The sequence below is a fragment of the Homo sapiens genome, chromosome 6 (genome assembly GCF_000001405.40).
Source record: "Homo sapiens chromosome 6, GRCh38.p14 Primary Assembly".
In the NCBI taxonomy this organism is placed as follows: Eukaryota; Metazoa; Chordata; class Mammalia; order Primates; family Hominidae; genus Homo; species Homo sapiens.
The window spans coordinates 116,065,305-116,086,083 of record NC_000006.12 but is presented as its reverse complement, the minus strand read 5'-3'; the positions used below and the strand labels follow the sequence as shown (position 1 = coordinate 116,086,083).

The following is a 20,779-nucleotide window of genomic DNA, read 5'->3' as shown; positions in this document are numbered from 1 at the left end:
CAGTGAGCAGAGATCATGCCACTGCACTCCAGCCTGGGCGACAGTGTGAGACTCTGTCTCAAAAAAAAAAAAAAGTCATTTGGACATTCAAACGGTAATGAGAATGGTTGAATAAATGCTGCTTACAGCTTACAATGGAAGTGTCAATGTATGTGTAATTTATTGTTACTACTATTCTCTTCTGGAAATTAGCCAGGTAATTGTTATATAAACAAAAACATGTCCATTTTCTTTCTTCCTTTTCATCTCAAAATCTGAGAGTACTCCAAGGAGAATACAAAAGTGCTACAGAATCTCCGTGTTCATATGTAACCTTCTCTGTACCATCTCTCCCTCTCTCTCTGTGGCATGCACACACACACACACACACCCACACACACACGGCCTGTGCATGTGGTGCATGTGGTGATGGGGGGATTTGTCAGTGGGTAGAGAAATAGAAAACATTCTTGAGCTCCTTCTAATATGCCAGACATTGTATTAAGAACAGTAGATAATTACCTCACTCATCGTAACAGCATGGAAATAGGTAAATGCACACTCATTTTACAAATATAATTCAAATTCCAATGTTTGTGACAAGAAGTTCAACACTTTTGCTTTCTTACTTGAACCTTTTCTTTAGACTAAGTCATTTATGCATAATACATATGTGTTATGAAACAACAAAAAAGAGAAGCAAATAGATTTAAAATGAAAATCCCCTTTCACTACTTCACACATTTATCATCATTATTATTCCCAGAAGTAACTGCTGATAGCAGTTGAGTGAATGTCCTTAAAGATCTATTCCAACACACAAAATACAGATATGTATGCGGTATGTACCAACCTATCCTAGTCATCCCTCAACTCCCCACACTTCCCATTTCTTTAAAATTTTAGCTCCTACTTCATTGTATTTTTTCCATCCTACTTATTTCTTAATTTTTAATGATTCTAATACTCTAGGCTCTCAATTCCTTTAACTTCTGTGATGTTCTTGTCACCCACACAACCTCAGCCACGCTTTCACACATCCTTCATAATTTCAAAGCAGGCATACCACTCTCTTAACTGCCCCCTTCTATCTTTCCCACTCATGTTCTCAAGTATCCTACCCCAACAATCCTTAGAGGCCACTGGTATCTAAAATCTAATGAACCCCACTTCCTTTTCACTGTGTCCTTCACTGCCATTATCTTATCACTTCTTTTTGCAAAGCTATGAATATTCATAGAGAATCATTATAATCACTTCATTGATATATCCTAATTTGATATTCCTCTCTCACCTCTTTGTATTCCTAGAAAAAACCACAATCAAAATTAGGCATAATTATTCCTTTCCCTGTATCCATGCCCCTTACAATACAACTTTGCAACACTTCTCATCAAGGCAAAGAATCTGTTTCTCTCCATCTTAAATATGATCTAGCTTTGTGACCTGTTTTGGCCAATAACATCAAGTGGAAAGTGACATCTTGCCTGTTCTGAGTCTGAGTCACAAGAGGCCATGAGGAATTCCACAGTATTTTGGGAATTCTGCTACAGCTATTTGAATAAGGCTGAACTAGACTGCTAGGAGATGATTATTACAGTCACCCCAGTCATCACAGCCTGTAATCACTGATCTGCCAGACATGTGAGCAAAGCCATCTGAAAACAGTCAGTCCCCAGCTGAACTGTGAACCGACTGCAGACCATGAATGAGTCCAGCCATGATCATCCAAGCCTGGTCCAGATCAATATGACTACCAACTGACCTTAGACTCCTGAGTAATAATAAATACTATTTTAAACCACCGAGTTTTGGGGTTACTTGTGTAGCAATACTTATACACATTGGTTATCTTCTTTTGGTTAACAGATGTATAAGTTTGACTCTTTTTATTGTCTGCATTCACACTTGAGCAACTGATCCTGCCTAAAGAAAATATATATAACCATTCGATGAGTAGTTAGTGCTAGTGGGTAATCATATTTTATTGCCTTGGTGCATTTGCTTTGCTGGTATCCTAGCAATTATTTCATATTTTTCCTTTCATCAAACTGCTACCACCTTCACCCTCATCTTCACTCTCAGATATTGACCGAACTTTTATTTTTCTGTGAATATATAAGCAGTCAAAAAAGCTTCCTTAGGGCTAAGCACTGTGGCTCATGCCTGTAATCCCAGTGCTTTGGGAGGCCAAGGTGGGACAATCACTTGAGTCTAGGAATTTGAGACCAGCCTGGGCAACATAATGAGGCCTCATCTATCCAAAAAAAAAAAAAAATTAGCTGGGCATGGTGGCTCCCACATACTCAGGAGGCTGATGTGGGAGGATCACTCCAGCCCAGTAGTTTGAGTTTGCAGTAAACTATGATTGTTACTATAGGCAGTGGTTCTTATCTTGTGGTTCCTAGCAGTAGTACCTGGGAACTTGTTAGAAACAAATTTTTGGGTCCCACTCGAGAAATACTGAATCAGAAACTCTGGAGGTCGGGCCCAGCAATCTGTACTTTAATAAAACCTCTAGATGATTCCAATGTATATTAGAATTTGAGAATCATTGCTATAAATTATCTGCATTTTTAGGTAAAGCTAACCCTTCACTTAGGCACTAGACTTATGCATCCTCTCAAAAATACTGCTTCCCCCCTCCTCTGATGATATTTTTTATTTCCGCTAAATCATTCTCACCATCATACAAACATGCTGTTAATTTTCTCATCTTAAAACAAAACAAAGCTTTTTTTTTCCCATGCAAACTTGCTTCTCTGCTCCCCTTTGATGAAAACTGATTGAAATAGTTGTTTGTCTCACTGTTTGCAATCTGTTTTCGCTCCCATTCTCTCTTAAGCACATGAAGGTGAACTTTGCCCTTCAATATTCCACAAAAACTGTAGAGTCACTGACGTTATTTATTTGCTAAACCCAATGGTCAATCCTCAGTATTATTTTATTTTATTTTATCCATGACCGTCATTTGACAGAGTTGATCTCTCCCTCCTTGGTAAACGCCTTTGGGCTTATAGGAACCCTACTCCTTCTTCATTGACTGATCCTTCTCAGTCTCCTTTGCTGGTTCTTCCTCATCTTCTTGATGTCTAAACTTCTGCGTTCCTTGAACTTCCTCATCTTCTTGATGTCTTGATGGTTCCTTGTCTTCTTGATGTCTAAACATCTCTGTTCCTTTCCCTCCCCTTCCTTCTGCCTCCTATTTTCTCTTCTTTAAATCTGATCTGATGACTTAAAAGATATATCTATACTTTGAAAACTCCAACATTTTTATTCCTTGCCTTGACCTCTCTTCTGAATTTAGGTTTATAGATCTAGTTGTCCACTTGACATCTCCATTTGGAGATCTAATAGACCTCTTAAGCTCTACTGTCTAAAAGTGACCTAATTTTTCCTCCAAAACCTGCTGTATCCATAGTCTTTCCTGAGCTAGTTAATAGAAACTCTATGTTTTCCAGTTTGTCAGACAAAAATGCTTGGAGCCATTCTTTATTCCTTTCTTGCTCTTACATCTCACATCTAATTCATGATCAAATGCTGCACCTCCACTTTAAACATATATCCAGAATCTAGCCATTTCTAACTTCACTGCTTGGATCCAGGTGGTTACACTGCTTCACTGCTACCACCTGGATCCAAGTCACCACCATTTCCAGCCTGGAATATTGCAATAGCCCCTAACTGGTCCTCCTACTTCTACCCTCATCCCTCTCCATCCCAATTCTGTCCTTAGCCCAAGGCAGAGAGCTTCTTTAAGCATAAAATAGATTTTGCCTTCTGTTTATATCCTTCCAGTGGCTTTTAGCCTCACTCAGAATCGAGTCTAAGGTCATCATGGTGCAACAAGGTGTACACTGTCAGGTCTCTGTTACCCTTTCTTATCTCTTACTATATCTTTTCTCTCACTCTGCTACAATCAAACCAGCCTTCTTTCTATTCCTCAAATATGCGGTACAAGCTCCCCCTTCAGAGATCTTTCAGCGGTTTATCACTCTGCCTAGAATGCTCTTTTCCTAGATATCTGTGTAACTTCTTTATATTTTTGCTTAAATTATACCCTCTTGGGTGATTAGATTTCAAATTTCCCACACACCATTTATCTTTGCTGTGCTCTCCCTTAGTACTTAACCATCTTCTAATAGAGCATGTTATTGATTTATTATGATTATTGTTTATTATTATTCTCTCCCCTCCCACTATAATGTAAATCTCCATGAGGACAGAAATTTTTCTTTTTGGTGTGTGCCTATGCTGAAGTTCCAGCATCTAGAACAGCATATGATGCATAATAGGGATTCAATTAAAACACTTGATTAATGTGTAGATATTTGCTGTTTTCTCTTAATAATATCAGTTGACCCATAACAAGTGCTCAGTAAGTGTAACCATTATTATTATTATTGTTATCTTTTATGTCTGTGGAATATATATATATATATATTTTTATATGGAGTTGCACTCTGCTGCCTAGGTTGGAGTGCAGTGGCATGGTCTCGGGTCACAGCAACCTCTGCCTCCCAGGCTCAAGCAATTCTCCTGCCTCAGCCTCCTGAGTAGCTAGGATTACAGGCACCCACAACCACACCCGGCTAATTTTTGTATTTTTATTAGAGACAGGGTTTTCACCATGTTGGCCAGGCTGGTCTGAAACTCCTGACCTCAGGTGATCCGCCCACCTTGGCCTCCCAAAGTGCTGGGATTACAGGCGTGAGCCACTGCACCTGGCCTATAGAATCATTTTTTACAAGTGGAATTATGGGATCAAACAGAATGTATATCATAAATAGTGACAAATTGCTCTCCAAAACGATGGTACTGATTTGCACCTCCACAAAAAGTGTTTGAAGATATCTGGTATGGTTTGGCTGTGTCTCCACTGAAATCTCATCTTGAACTGTTGCTCCCATAATCCCTGCATGTTGTGGGAGGCACCCAGTGGAAGGTAATTGAATCATGGGGGCAGGTTTTTCCTATGCTGTTCTCGAGATAGTGAATAAGTCTCTTGAGATCTGATGGTTTTATAAAAGGGCAGTTTCCCTGCAATGCTGTCTTGTCTGCCACCATGTAGGACATGACTTTGCTCCTCCTTTGCCTTCCACCTTGATTGTGAGGCCTCCCCAGCCATGCTGAACAGTGAGTCAATTAAACCTCTTTCCTTTATAAATTACCCAGTCTTGGGTATGTCTTTATTAGCAGCATGAGAACAGACTAATACAACATCTATTTTCTCACATCCATATCAAAATGGATATTATCAATATTTATATTTTTTGTCAATCAAGGGCAAACAATAGATCTCATTGTAGTGTTAATTTGCATTTCTCTCATTATTAATGACTTTGAGCATATGCTATATGCTTAGAAGTCCTTCTATGTTTCTTTGCCTATGAATTGTCTGTTCATATCTCTTGCTCATTTTCTTATGGGTTATTTCTTTTTTCTCTAACGTGTGGAAAGTTTTCATATGGTATAAATATTAATCCATTGTCTATTTTCTAGACTGCAATTATTTTCAACTTTGTGTTGTAGCTTTCCTTGTGGTATTATATAAATGTGGTATGTTATAGAAGTTTAACATTTTTGCGTAGGCAAATCTGCCAGATGTTGGGTTCAAGGCTTCTGGGTTTCATACTTAAAAAGGCTTTTTTGGCCCAGTGCAATGGCTCACGCCTGTAATCCTAGCACTTTGGGAGTCTGAGGTGGGTGGATCATGAGGTCAGGAGATTGAGACCATCCTGGCTAACATGGTGAAACCCCATCTCTACTAAAAATACAAAAATTAGCCAGGTGTGGTGGCAGGTGCCTGTAGTCCCAGCTACTCAGGAGGTTGAGGCAGGATAATTGCTTGAACCTGGGATTCGGAGGTTGCAGTGAGCCGCAATCATGCCACTGTACTCCAACCTGGTGACCATCTCAAAAACAAACAAACAAACAAAAAGGCTTTTTCTCTACCTAGATTTTAAAAACATTTTTCTTATATTTTCTTCTAATGTTTTATGCTATCGTTGCATTATACTTTTAATCTAACTCAAATACTTTTATTATAAAAAAAGTACATATTCACATTACTATTTTTAACGGATAGTCAATTGGGTCAATATACCCTTTATTTAATAGGTCTTCTTTTTCTCATTGATTACATTTTAATTATTCATTTTGAGCTGAGGTAGGGTAAAGGTAACATAAGATACTATTTTCATAATCTTAGAATAAGAAGAGAGTTGTTATGGCCAAGGAGAGTGGCTCACACCTGTAATCCCAGCAGTTTGGAAGGCTGAGGCAGAATTGTTTGAACTCAGGAGTTTGAGACCAGCCTGGGCAACATAGTAAGACCCTGTCTCTACAAAAAATTAAAAAATTAGCATGTGTCTGTAGTCCCATCTGCTCAGGGCACACAGTGGGAGGGTCATTTTAGCCCAGAAGGTCAAGGCTGCAGTGAGCCATGACCGTGCCACTGCACTCCAGCTTGGGTGACAGAGCAAGATTCTGTCTCAAAAAAGAAGAGATTTATTAAACAATATAATAAATATTATCCATAAAAAACATTTTAAATGTACCTACAATGAAATTAAGTTTTCTTTTTATTAAAAGACACAACTAAGATAGTGAAGAAGTAAGCCTCAAAGAAGAAATGTGTGTTTTCAACATGCATAACTGATAAAGAGCCCTTATCCAGAAAGAACTCTGAAAAAAAAAACAAAAAACCCAATGCAGAAATAGGCAAAAGACCTGAATCAAAGAAGAGGACATATAAATAGAATACAAATTAAGATGCCCAATATCACTGGAAACCAGAAAAATGAAGATTAAGATCTTCAGGGAACTATTACTATAATCCATCAGATTGGCAAAAATTAAAAGTCTGATAATTCAAGTCAGGCAAAGATGTGGAGCAAGAGGAACTCTTATGAATAATCTCTTTGGTAATATCTAGTATAGATGCCTATAATCTACTACTCAGCAATTTCACCGCTAGAGAGAGAAATGTGCACATTGCGCTCCAGAAAATGTGTGCATGTAGATTTATAGCATTGTTCAAAATGGCCCCAAACCGCAAATAACCCAAAAGTGCATCCCAACAGAATACACAGTTATAGAATATCCACACAAAGTTACAATACACAGCAATGAAAAGGAATGGACTTTTGATATGTTACAAACTAGATGAATCTTAATGTCATAATGCTAAGCAAAAGGGGCCAGAGACAACAGAACGGTAACTGTATGAACAAAAATGTAGGCAAAATTAAACTATGCTTTTAGGGATGGTTAATTCTGTTGTGAAACAATAAAAAAATGAAAGGAAGTTGAATTCTGTAAAAGTCAGGAAAGTGTTTGGCACTGGGAGAGGTAGACAGAGCTATGATCCAGACGGTCCTGCAGGGGGCTTTTAGTGTGTCAATAATGTTTTGTTTCTTTATCTGTGTTATAATACATGAGCACGCATCTGACAACTTGTTAAGCTATATGTTTAAGTTTATGCACTCTTCTGTATGTTAGCTCTATCTCACAATTTTGAAAATTTAACAAAACAAGGTATTTATTTCACATGGGGTGTTTTGAGAATTAAAACAACTAACACTACCCCTGACCCCATTAAAACAAACAAACCAACCCCTTAACATACATTAGCTATTAGGAGTCTATGTGTCCATCCCAAGCTCTTTAGGGACCTCAGATATCTAATAACTGGACACTAGGCTAGTTAGACTCATTTTCCCAGATTGGTCAAGGGACATTAGAAGAAAAACAGGACTGTTCCCAGGAGACTATTGTATTGTCTTTAGTCCTAGTAATAAAAAACAATATTATCCAACAAGTTAAACACCTCTAACAAATCCTCCCACGTTCATAACTGCTGTCCAGAAGTTGGGACACTACTCCTGAGTAAAGAAGTCATTTTGTTCATTTTCATTTTCAAATGTTTATTTATTTATTTATGAAATGGAGTTTTGCTCTTGTTGCCCAGGCTGGAGTGCAATGGTGCGATCTCAGCTCACTGCAACCTTCGCTTCCCAGGTTCAAGCAATTCTCCTGCCTCAGCCTCCAGAGTAGCTGGGATTACAGCCACCTGCTACCATGCCCTGCTAATTTTTGTGTTTTTAGTAGAGATGGGGTTTCACCATGTTGGCCAGGCTGGTCTTGAACTTCTGACCTCACGTGATCTGCCTGCCTTGGCCTCCCAAAGTGCTGGGATTACAGGCATGAGCCACTGCACCTGGCCAATTTTCAGATGTTTAGACTGTCTTGTAAGACATGTCAACATCCAGTTGCATAACTGCTGTATAGTATTAGTTGATCTGGCAGGGTTGGAACAAATAAAGGAGTCTGGTCATAGGCATGATGACATCGAGATCTATAATAAAGCAAAGGAGAGTCTCCATTTTCTCTGAAAGAAAGAAGCACAAGCTTTCTCCAGTACCTAGATAGTCCCTGGAATTTAGGAAATATTCAAAAAACTGTTCAATGAGTAAGGTAATGTACACATGAATATGTGATCAAGAAAGAAATTAAGGGTAATTACAGTTTAAATAAATCAGAGGAGAGAAGCCATATTTTAGAGAAAGATCACACTGAATTAGCACCGTGCATGTATCTGCAAGGATCAAATTACAAATTTGAATGAGTTGGGTGGGGAGCTATAGGATTTAAAGTCCACTTTACCTGAGGAGCAGCTGAAGTCAACTGTAATTTTTGTGAAAGGAAAAGCAACCCTGGGCCCATCAAGGTGGGGAAGGGCTGGTGTCTTAGGGTGCATTTTCACAGGCACAGCTAAGCCCTATGTGAAATATTCCTTCCACAACATCATAAAGGAATGAAGCCTTCGGCATTGGATGCATTGGGAACTAATTCCTGCTTGGTTCTTGATGTGTGACTTCAGTAAATAACCTAAAGCCTCTGTTTTTCTATTTTGTTATAAAGCTGACTGACAGTAACTACATTACAGGTAAAAACATGTAAAATGGAGTTTGTAATGTACCTCTATTTCTATATGAATTACTTCATTAATCTAAATGTGGTAGGAACTTACAACTTTTTGATTTTCATTTCTTTCATCTTTTGGATAGTCAATCTGATATATGAATACTTCGGAATTATCTTTGGGCAACTGAAAATGTTTATGAATTGGGAGATGGATTTTTCAAGATAATGCAGATAGAGTACAATAAAAATAATCTATAACGTTATCACCCTTCTTTCCTTGATCTGGTAAACACCTTTCTTGGACAAGTTCAGATTCAAACTGATAGCAAAGTGAAAGGCATTGTTACTATTATTATTTTAACTTAGAGAATCAGTGCATAGGGCACTCATGGAACAACAGAAGTATAAACACCGCCTGGGTCTGCATGGCCATTTGTGCAGCCAGCTCACTGCACCACCTTAGTCAAAGAAAAACACATGAGAATTGGTTGGAAATGTGTGACCCTTGAGCAGTTAAGCTCACTTATCAGCTTTCATCCTCAAAATAAGTGCAACAATGATATTAGACATGTCTGTCATTGACCAATCAGGAACAATTCAGCAAGGTGTTTATAAGCTATTTCATACCCTTTGCTTCCTTATCATTGCTATACTTTTACAAGGGCTGAAATGGATGAAAAAAATAATAATTTCTCATTTGTTATAAAAAGATAGCAAAAATCTAATGGTGAAATCATTTTTAAAATCAAGAAAATGACTCAATAGTTGAAATTAAAATATGTGAAATACAAAAGGAAGTGTGGTCCAATAGAAAAGGATACTTTCAAATAATTTAAAGAAAATAAATCATTTTGAACTTTGCTGTTTAGTATTTTATATTTGCATAAATAAATTTGATATACATTGCATATATATGACATCCATCATAACATACTGTAAGAAAAAAATGAATAATTTCCTTTAAATAATTTCAGAAAAATCTTTTATCATCTGGCAATCATCATATAAACTTTTGGTGAGAGTTCTCATACAGAAACAGATATGCAAGACACTTAGAAAATGGACATTTATAAACGAAGTGACTCAATTTAAAATACTTAAAACAAGAAGAGCACTAAGAAAACAATAATGAAGATGAGGATGAGAAATTCTGTGTTGCAGAAGGAATTTCCAGGAAGAAGTCAATGTCAAGGTATGCAAGGAATCAATGTTAAGGAGAGTTGATATGTGCCAAAATTTTACATTTATCATCTCATTAAATTTTTGTGTTCTACAGTCTACAGGCCCTGCAGATCTCATCCCTCTATCTTTCATTGTCACCTCTTGTCACTCTCCTCACTTTGTTCAGTCCAGCCTTAACAGCCTTCTTTGAGCACCTGTAAAGTGTAGGGCTCAGAATTTATGCCACTTGCCAAGGTCACACAGCTAGCAAAGGACCGTAATATCATCCTGGTATTATTTCATCCCTTTACTCCTTAATTGTGGGTGGTGGTGGGGCACTTTTTTATTGTTAAAAACAGAGCCAAAGACTGAGGTCTAGGTCTCTAGGGAAAGGAGGGCACAAAAGAACCCCAATGAAGAGCGTTAATTTCTCACCTGAGTTTAAAAGTGGGCCTTTGATCCTTTGACTGAAACAATCATCTTAAAATGAAAAGTCTTTGTACCAACTTCTGGGAGGAAAAAAAGTTCCAGGTTTTTTTTTTTTTTTTTTCCCCCAGCTCTTAAGCTTACATTTGCATAATCACACCAAAATCAAAAATACTATTAGCTTTTTTGGGGGCTTACTTTGTGTCAAAATTTTCGTAAGCCTTTTATACCTATTAACTCATATAATCTTCACAATGATCCATATGGTGTAGATACTATAATTATCCCTATTTTTGCAGATGAGGACTTGGGCATAAGAAGTTTAAAAAGAAATACTTACTCACAGTCACATAAATAGAAAGTAATTATAGAGAAGCCAAAGCCTGGGACCTAGCATAGAATCTGTTCATGATTCACAGTGGAGAAAGAGTGGATGGTGACATGTAAGAACTGGTTTCTCTTCCAAAAGGAGAGAAGAGTTCAACAAGCAAGTGGGAAAAAGAGAATCAGAGGGGCCTTGGTGAGAGCTGAAAACCCCCTTGGATGATTGAAATGACCCTAATCTCTGCCCTTCTCCTTCTCTCTGAGCACTCACAAGGGAGGGGGAATCGGATAGGTCCCAGAGCAGTATATATTGCTGCCTGGCTTCCCAGATTGTAACCCTAGGAGGCCATAATGTCAAGGCATAAAGTCAAAGGGAACACAGCATGGCACAACAGAGGGACAGGCATGACATAGAAAACTAAGGGCAGCCCCTCAGATTCTCTTGTGCCCTGGTATGGCACTGGAGAGCATTAGGAAGTTTTTCACATCCCTTCATAGGGCTGTGATGTAGGTTGGCTGAGGGCCACAGATGAGAAGTGGACCTGGGATGGTACAAAGGGAATTAGACTCCTCCCGTCTGACTTCTATGCAAAGAAATAATCTCAAGACAAGTTTTTGGTATAGGCTTTGATATATATGGATGGTCCTACCTCATGGCAGTTTCAATATTGTTAGTGAAATTTTGCTATCTATGAAAATGTAGCCATAACTCACTAAAATATATTTTTAAATAAATAATTTAAAAGTGTTTGCTCAAATTTAATTTTGCCCCATGTATATCTGATTACTCGAAGAAATAAGACAACTGGTTACGTTAGTTTCATCAGTTACATAAAATGAAGAAGCATGGCATATTTCATTACCCAGAAGAAGGGTGACCAACCATTTGGGTTTGCCTGGGACTTCCTCAGTTTTAAAACTGAAAGTCCAGCAGAGCTGGAGACCCTCAGTCCCTGGTAACCAGTATGCCATGTACAAATCTCAAGCTTCCTAACATTAAAAGCATGTACACAAAGGTGTTAGTCATTATGAGGACAGATGAGTCACCCCCAGTCTCCTGGTTTTAGCTTTAGGATATAACAGTATTATTTCTTAAGCTCTAAGTCAGACCTGTGGAGGACTTCTTGACCCAGGTCATTGAATTGTGGATTTGAAGATTTTCTTAATCTTTTCTAAGTGAAATACCTAACTCTGAGACACCAAGAGCTAAGATAGAAAGAGCGTCTGCAGTAGCTTTGCTGATCATGCAGGGGTAATTTAGAAGCAGGTGCTCTTGGCTCCTTTGTGTCAATGTGGTGGGCAGAGGACAGGATAAGTTAACTTGCTCACAGCTTCCTTCACCCTGGCAGCAGCCAGGAGCCAGAATTTGGAACTCTCGTGTCAGCTCTTATTAATTCCCCCAGCAGTCTTTGGCATTATAGTCAAACATCATTTCAAGCTCTCAGTCTGTCAACTCTGGATAATTCTTTGCTATCTCTTTGCTGTTATGGGAATTGATTAATACTTATGAGCACATTTTAATGGAAAAATGGAGTGTAAGTATTATTGCATGAACTGAAAAATAGTTTCCTACATAATATGTACAAGGAAAATAAGTCATGGGCTGTAGAGGCTTCTTGCGAGAGTTTTAAGTGGCGATCACTTACCTGCTGCTTCCCTATTCATTTTTAATATGTTTAGTGCTTTTGTTATTTAATGTTCTCAACAATAATTTCTGCTAAATTAATTTTATTATTGTTGTTACATATTGATGCATTTTGTTTGCTGTTAAGTTCAATACATTTCTTTGTTTCCAGTTAGAATTTGTAAATCACTGACTGATTTTCTCCACTGAAATTTTTCTGGTGTACTAGGGAGATGTTTAATTACTTAATAATTGCTGAAACTCATCACTTAAGAAAATAAATATTTCTCTAGTCAAGGTCATTGCACATCAAATTTCTGTTACATGAATTAGTGCTCCATTCTTGAATTTCTAAGTATAAAATTAGAAGTATTCTTGGCAGAGCTGATAAGACACATTTTGAAGTCCAAGACAGAGAAAATAAAGTTACTTAGAGCATAGAGAATCTGAATAAAGAAATTGAGTGTATCAAGCAGATCATCTCCTCACCTTGATATACCAGTGTGACCCTTTCTTCTTCTTACCAAAATTCTGCAATACTAACTCATAATTAAAATCAGGGTACAGTGGAGACATATTGATACATTCTTCTGGTGCCAGTCTTCTCTTTCAATATTTTAAATGTCACACATACACATAAAAAATTTTTAAAATTACATAACAAACTTCCTCATGGCAAACACATTACATTTTCTAGCATCCATTTCAGAGGGATATTTTATTTTCCAGGGAGCACCCTAAGCCTTTTGCTAATCTTACCAGCAGTTTACTTACTATTTCTTTGGATGTTTTTCTTCCCTGTTATACTTTCCACAGATATCTCACCTTATCTAGGTTATCAGTTAGTATGGGTTAGGTTAAACTCCTACAGGATAACAACCCTTAATTCTCTGAGGCCTAAAACAACAAAGGTTATTTTTCAATTAGGTTATATGTACCTATCAGGTCAGTGGAAGCTCTTCCATGTTTTGCTTAGCCAACAATGCAGGCTAATAGATCACCCCTCATCTGGAACATTGTCATCATGGTAGGGGAAGGAAACACGTGTAACTGCACATTTCCTCTGAAAGGTATCTTGTGTGTGTGTGTGTGTGTGTGTGTGTGTGTGTGTTTATTTAACCTGGAAGTGATGTAATCAGTTCTAACATTTCATCACTCAAAGCAAATCATATGTCTTTGCTTATCTTCAAAGGGTTAGGAAAGTACAATTCTGCCATATTTTAGAAGATGAGAACTGGAAATATCTTTGAACAGCAATAATGAATACCACATCAAGTCATTTTGGTTAATATTTTTATTTAGAAAGAATGACATTTTTTACCCCATCCTCAGATTCAGGACTCAATCACTCAACATATATTTATTTAAGAATCAATTTTTTCAATGTTTTTTTCCAAGCTCTGTGGATGATACAAAGATGAAACAAGTATAGATCTAAAGACTCTTGTGTATAATAGAGTGCAATAGTCCTCTTATAGTACCTGATACTTCTGCTTCATAGCTTTAGCAGGATGGTTATAATTATTTCTACAACTATTTGTCTAATGCTATCTAATGCTCTAGTAGTTTCACAAATTCTATTTAGGTTACAGGCTGTACCTCTTTTCATGACTACATCCTCAACAGCAAATACCCTGCCTGATATCTAGCAGGGGATGTTCAACAATTATGTGTTGAGTAAATTATAAAAGAAGAAAACTACTATGGTAGTCAGAGAGGGAGACAATCTTTCCAAACAAATGTATGCTTCTTTAGATTTGTACCTCCTTTTGCACTGACAATATTTATCTGGTCACATTTTTGTTTGCAATGTGAGAGACTCTCCTTGTATAGGAGAGACTAGGCTTATTTTATTTAATTTTATATCCCCAAGCACTAGCCTAGTGCCTGACACACAGGAGCTCAATAAATATTTGTTGAATCAGTGAAGCAAAGGAGGTAAGCCTCAAGGACTACTGAAATAAATAATTTTTAATAGGCAGGCACACCAGAGTGTGCTTCCTTTAATTGGTCTATTAATGACATGTGGTTTAATCTTTTTTTAAAGCACTGACAGACTAGCTGATAAGTGTTTTTGTCATCAAACAAATTCTGATTGCATCTGATACGAACTGGGCAATGAAATTTCAGCAGATGACCTCCAGTGGCTGAAGATGGCACATTTGCTGGAGGCAAAAGTGGAGAATGATGAGGTTTTTCACATTCTGTAAATGTAGGGCTAGGTTTGTTGAGTGGATTTGTAACTCAATTCGTATATTTTCTTTGATATTCTGAAATTTCTATTGACTGTGAAGGTGTGAAAATGTGTACAGTCAACCAGTAGCGAATACCTTCCTTTGTGAAGATGAGTAGAGCACATATTACAGACTTTCTGTGCTAAAGTGAACCAAATGCATACATATCATTATGTACATAGGCAACAAGGTATGACTTGTGGTTTAACTTTGAGGAAAAGCAAACTGCCTTGTAATAGGCTTTTATTATATACTGACCATGTTTACTTTGATGATTCACCAGGAAATAATAAGCCCCTAAGACTCAGTTACTTTTCCAAAATGAGCTACTCTTATCTTCCAAGGCCCAAGGCACCAATTACTTGTGTGCCATAGATGACAATATGCATTATAAGTTTAACAGATTTTCAATAAAAACATTGCTAAAACATCATTATTATGAACTTAGTTATTAAAGTACCAGGTACTTAAAAATGTCCAATATCAAAATAAAAAATGCCAAGTATACTTCTTATGTATCAAGAGACAAAAAAAGGCCTAGCAGGACAAGAAATTCTTGAAGCTCTATCCAATTTCTTGGCATAGACATAGGAAAAATCTAAATCTGGAAACTTTGGCATAAGAATTGTTTTCTTTGTTTCTATAAAAGACCATGTATATATAAGTAAGAAACGGTGCATTTGTTGTTGCTGTTGTTGCTAATGACTAAAAGTTTTACAACATGGGTGATAGAAATTAACCTATTACATATGTCTTTTAATTGGAAAATACTGATTGGATATATGACTTTTTTTTCTTCTTCTTGCATTAGGATTTTGTTAATACTATTGAGATTTTGCAAAAGCTGCATCATAAATGCAGCATTCCAAGAAAGGAAAGCCCATGGTTCAGGTTATATGATTTGTGGACATCATAATTCAAAGGACGCAAAATAAATTGTTGTTAGCACAAGATAAACCTAGACTGAGAATCAGGAGCCTGGGATCCCAGTCCTGGAATCTTGTATGGGTCACATTCTATGTAAAAATGTTCTTTGGCCACATACTTTTCTTCTTCCACTCACTGAGTTCTTTACCCATGCAGCCCCCCAACCCTGCCACCTATGCTAGCCAAGAATTGTCCAGAATCTGCTTTTGACTGGAGTTTTTGAGAAGAAGCAGCTGTGTGGTAAAGAGAAGATTCTCTTGTACAGGGTTGGTTATTTCTGATTTTATCTTCACTAATAGCTGTGACCTAAAGCAAGTCACTTTAGCAGGTTTTTTTTTTTTTTTTTAAATAATGGGCTGTTTCCTTCATTCTAAAATGAGATAATTAGATAAGTTGGTCTTTAAAATATTTTTTCAAAGTGAAAAATCCAAGGGATTAGATGATCATGCTTTCAAACGTGGGTGATAGTGAGGATTTGCTGATGTCTCTCACTCAGAGAACCAAGCTATAAATTGAGTCACTAAATTCCTGCCGCACAAACTGTGGTCCTAAGATCAGCAGTATGGACATCACCTGGGAGCTTGTTAAAAAGGCAGACTGTCAGACTTCACTCCAGATCTACTGAATTAGAATCCAAGTTTTTACAGGATCCCTGGGTGGTTTGTGATGCTTTGTGTCAAAGGTGAGAGAGACAGGAGGAAGCCCAAATCCCCAAGGAATTTCCCCTGACCATCTGCAGGTCTCACCAGCCTGAATCCTTTTTGTTTTCCCCTGCTCTAGTGCAGAATGACATTCATATTCATCCTTTTTTGTTTGATCTACGAAACTAAGCAGAATTAATCCACTTTTATACCTGGATAAGACCTTCTAGGAAAACCAAGTGAGATTGATTTTTAGTTTTTAAACTGGTTAGAACTCTTAGCCTCAAGTGATCTTCCCAACTCAGCCCCCTCAAGTATTGGGATTGCAGGTGTGAGCCACCATGCCTGGCCAAATGAAAGCTTTAAAAATATTTTTTTCACAGTAATATTGAATAATATAAATATTTTCATAGGAGTTAACTGCAAGAGAGGCATGACTCTGTTCATCTTACTTTGCACATAGAGTTTGGAATTAGCCAAGAAACTTGAAGATGAACAGTAAGAACTATGCCGTCATACTACATATCCTCATGTTCAGTCAGCCCAGCCACAAATTTTGTATCCCAAACTTGGTGAAATATCAAAAGAGAAGTTCTTGAGAAAAAAGTCCTCAGAGACTTCAGGTGCTTCTATTTTCTGTTATTTTGGGGAAATTTGATAGTGTCTAACAGATTAGAGAGGCTCTGTGGCATTGCTAAAATAATGTTGCTGCTAGGTAGATGTGAATCTTGATTGATGAATTATCTGCTTAATAGGCAAGAACAAATCACCTGGGTAAACCATGGATAACTATATTTTAGGAAAGGCTTATCAGCTGCTTCTGGGAGATTGCATATACAAGAATATTCAGTCTTTTTGGAAAGCAAGTTCTCTAATCCCATTTGCGGATATTGCTAGATCATTTTTTTCAGTATCTTACTGAAATCTAGATATACTGTGCCTATTTTGTGTCTTTGACAGTGCCAAAGAATGAAACAAAAAGCTTTAAAAAGTTTTTTTTTTTTTAAACCTGAATTGATATACTTGCAAGTAAGGGAACTCAGATCAGTAAAGAAATTCACTGAGTAGCTATAGTTTATTGAGGGTAAAATTCATGGATTTTCAAATATAGAAATAGGGTTTCATGATTATGCTCTGTAAGTATTGAAAACACACCTTCTGTTTAGGAGAGAATGAGTCCAGCATCCCATGTTGGCTGGATGTTTAATGTAGTCCGTCATCATTGGTCAGGAAAACTGCTACAGTTATGGATATTAAGGACATGGCATGCCAACACACCTCAAAATTCATGTTCTTCAACGGTTTCAGCTGGTTAGATAGAACCAGTTGTAAAATACAGCATTTGGTTTTGATGTCTTCTAAGTTCCGAAGTAATTAAACAATTTTTTATTTACAATAGTAATTCTATATGAAAAAGGAAATTGAGGTTAATTCGGCATCTTTTTTTTTTCTTTTTAAGCCCATATTAGCTTCTAATAGTCATTGCTTTTCTTTAAATTCCAAGACTCACTCACATATGTCTGGTCTTCTTTTTCCAGTCTGAGGATTATACTCTTTGGCCAAGAAAACTGGAATAAATTTAGAATTAAGTTGTTACCATCTGCTGCAAATATTAAAGGCCATCTTTTCATCATCATCATGATCATCATCATTGTTTTCCTCTGATTATAACTAAAGAGCTCCATATTTCATTTCCTTTCATTTTAACGGATTCTTGTCATTTCCCCTAGTGTCAGGCTAGTGTTTGGTCCTACAAGAGATGACTAAAAGAGGAATTGGTGAAGGTTAAGATGAAAGAGATGGAGAATCCCAAGGTACCAAGCTGTATTATAGCCAAAGGAAGTATCTAAATTTTGTCTGGAAGAGAATAAAAGATTAAGCTGATGCCAAGACTCAAGTCCAAGGGATAAGATGAAATTGTTTGCGGTCTGCTTATTTAATGGCATCATGGAAGACAGCTGAAGCCTGAAAAAGTTTCCATTAAACCTCAGAATAACATAAATCCCATCATCAGCCTCTCAGCAGTAGTAGCCAGACATTATCATTCAGCCTTTGGTATAAAATAATCTTTAGAGATATTTCACTTTGTTCTATTATAGAAAACAATGACAACAACAACAAGACTCTTGCAATTAGTATAAGTGGCCCCAACTTTCCTTCTAGAAATAGGAATTTTCCACTGAAATAGCAGTGTCTTTGTATCTACTGCATTTGTAGTGATATTATTTTATCAATAAAAATGTTTTTTGTTATTTTTACCATTATGTAATGATTATTGGTTGATTGCCTATAACAGGTTAAGCTCTAGGGACATAGCAGTGAAGAGGGTAGATGAAGCCGCCATCTCACTGGAACATTTTCTAGTAGAGGAGACTGTACTCAGTAGGCAAATAAATAGAAGACGTAAATACAGAGTGTGATGAGTGCTGCAAAAAATAAATAAATAAATAAATAAATGAAAATAAAAATAAAAATAGTGACATGCTGTAATAGTTCCTTTGGGCTGCTGTAATAAAGTACCAAAGACTGAGTGGCCTAAAGCAACAGCACTCTATTCTTCCATAGTTCTGAAGGCTAGAAGTCTGAAATCAAGTTGTCAGCAGTGCCATGCTCTATAGCTAGCCTCTTTTAGCTGCTGGTGTTTGCTGGTATTCCTTGGCCTGCAGATGCATTACTCTGTTCACATGGCTGGGCTTCTCTCTGTGTATCTTTGCTTGGTGTTGTTTCTGTGCCTGTCTGTGTCCAAATTTTCCCTTTTTATGAGGACACCTGTCATACTGGATTAGGGCTCACCCTGATGAATTCATTTTAACTTGATTACCTCTGTAAAGACCGTATTTCCAAATAAGGTCACGTTCTGAAGTGCTGAGGGTTAGGATTTCAACATATCCTTTTGGAGGACACAATTCAACCCATGAGACATGCTAAGAGAGAAGCTAGGTTGGGTAGTTTTGCTACTTTAGACAGAGTGGTTAGGGGTAACCTTTTTAATGATACATTATTTAGGTTGAGAACAGAAAGATCCATCCAAATGAAGAATCTGGACAAGAATGTTGTTGATTAGAAGAATAGTGAGAAAGAATCCATGGTCAGAAAAAAGGGCTTGGCTGTTGCCGTGGTGAACAGAAAGGTGGCCACTGTGGCTGGCCCATAGAGAGCCAGAAGAGTGGTGCCAGATGGAGGGAAGGGACAGGCTGGAGACAGCCCCAGCAGAGCCTTATTTCTGAAGATAAGGAATTTGGAATTCATAAGTGCAATGGGAAGCTATTGAAAAACACAGGTCTGATTGATATTATACAAAGATTATTTTGGCTGCCATTTGGAGAATAAGTTGCTGTATTAGTCAGGGTTCTCTAGAGGGACAGAACTAATAGGATACACACACACATACACACACACACACACATATATATATATAAAGGGGAGTTTATTAAGTATTAACTTACATGATCACAAGTTCCCACAATAGGCTGCCTGCAAGCTTGAGGAACAAGGAGAGCCAGTCCGAGTCTCAAAACTGAAGAATCTGGAGTCTGATGTTCGAGGCAGGAAGCATCCAGCACAGGAGAAAGATGTAGGCTGGGAGGCTAGGCCAGTCTCGCTTTTTCATGTTTTTCTGCCTGCTTTTTATTTGCTGGCAGCCGATTAGGTGATGCCGAACAGATTAAGGGTGGGTCTGCCTTCCCCAGCCCACTGATTCAAATGTTGATCTCCTTTGGCAACACCCTCATAGACACACCCAGGATCAATACTTTGCATCCTTCAATCCAATCAAGTTGACACTCAATATTAAACATCACAATTGCAATCGAACAAGAGTGAAAGTAGGGAGACTTCCTATGCATAGGACAGATTCTAGATTTTCCTTGTGATACAGAGAAATATAAGACATAAACTTGTCTTCAAAGACAGGGCAATATGCTTGGGGAAACAACACAATTACATATAAGCAGATATTAGACTACATAAGATATAATAAACTGTGTTCTAGGAGAATGACATTCATTAGATTTCACTCAACATATATTTATTGAGTGTCCATTAAGTGTTAGGCATTGTGTCAATATAGGAACAAAAGAACACTACATTAAGTACATAAAGAGATCAGAATCACACATGGAATAAATGACAAAAATGGGTATAGGTTATGCTGGGAGGGCACAAATGAGAGAGTGGTCAATTCTGTCTAATGAAGTAGTTGGGAAAGAATTAATAAAGACAGAGACATTTTATTCGATTCTTAAAAGATAGACAAGAACCCATATTTATCTGGCAAATAAGTTGGAAGATGGTTAATGTAGGAAAAGGGAGAGAAGTTGGGGTCATCACATCAGGCAAAAGAAGGGGATTGAGCAAAGGTCAACAGGTATGCAGAAGAAGTGCACATTTGCAGATTATATGGGTTCACAGCAAGAGTTTGGAGGAAGACTATGTGGTGGAGAGTTTTGTTTTTATTTTTTATGGCTCCCTAGGCCATAATCCTCTTTTCTATGTGTGGGGGAATATGTTACTGTGTGAGTTGGGGAGACAGAGTC

The 20,779-nt window shown here is 37.4% G+C and overlaps 1 protein-coding gene across 5 annotated transcripts in view; it reads left to right on the top strand.

The window, feature by feature from the left end:
- FRK (fyn related Src family tyrosine kinase) overlaps positions 1-20,779 on the top strand; it is a 169,577-nt gene that overhangs the window by 14,642 nt on the left and 134,156 nt on the right. For 2 of the 5 annotated variants that reach the window (XM_047418554.1, XM_047418555.1), the window contains exon 1: positions 9,882-10,099. The exons of the other annotated variants lie outside the window; for them this stretch is intronic. The gene's annotated coding sequence lies outside the window, so the exon portion shown is untranslated. Of the gene's footprint in view, positions 1-9,881; positions 10,100-20,779 lie in introns of those variants that run through there. 5 annotated transcript variants of the gene reach the window in all.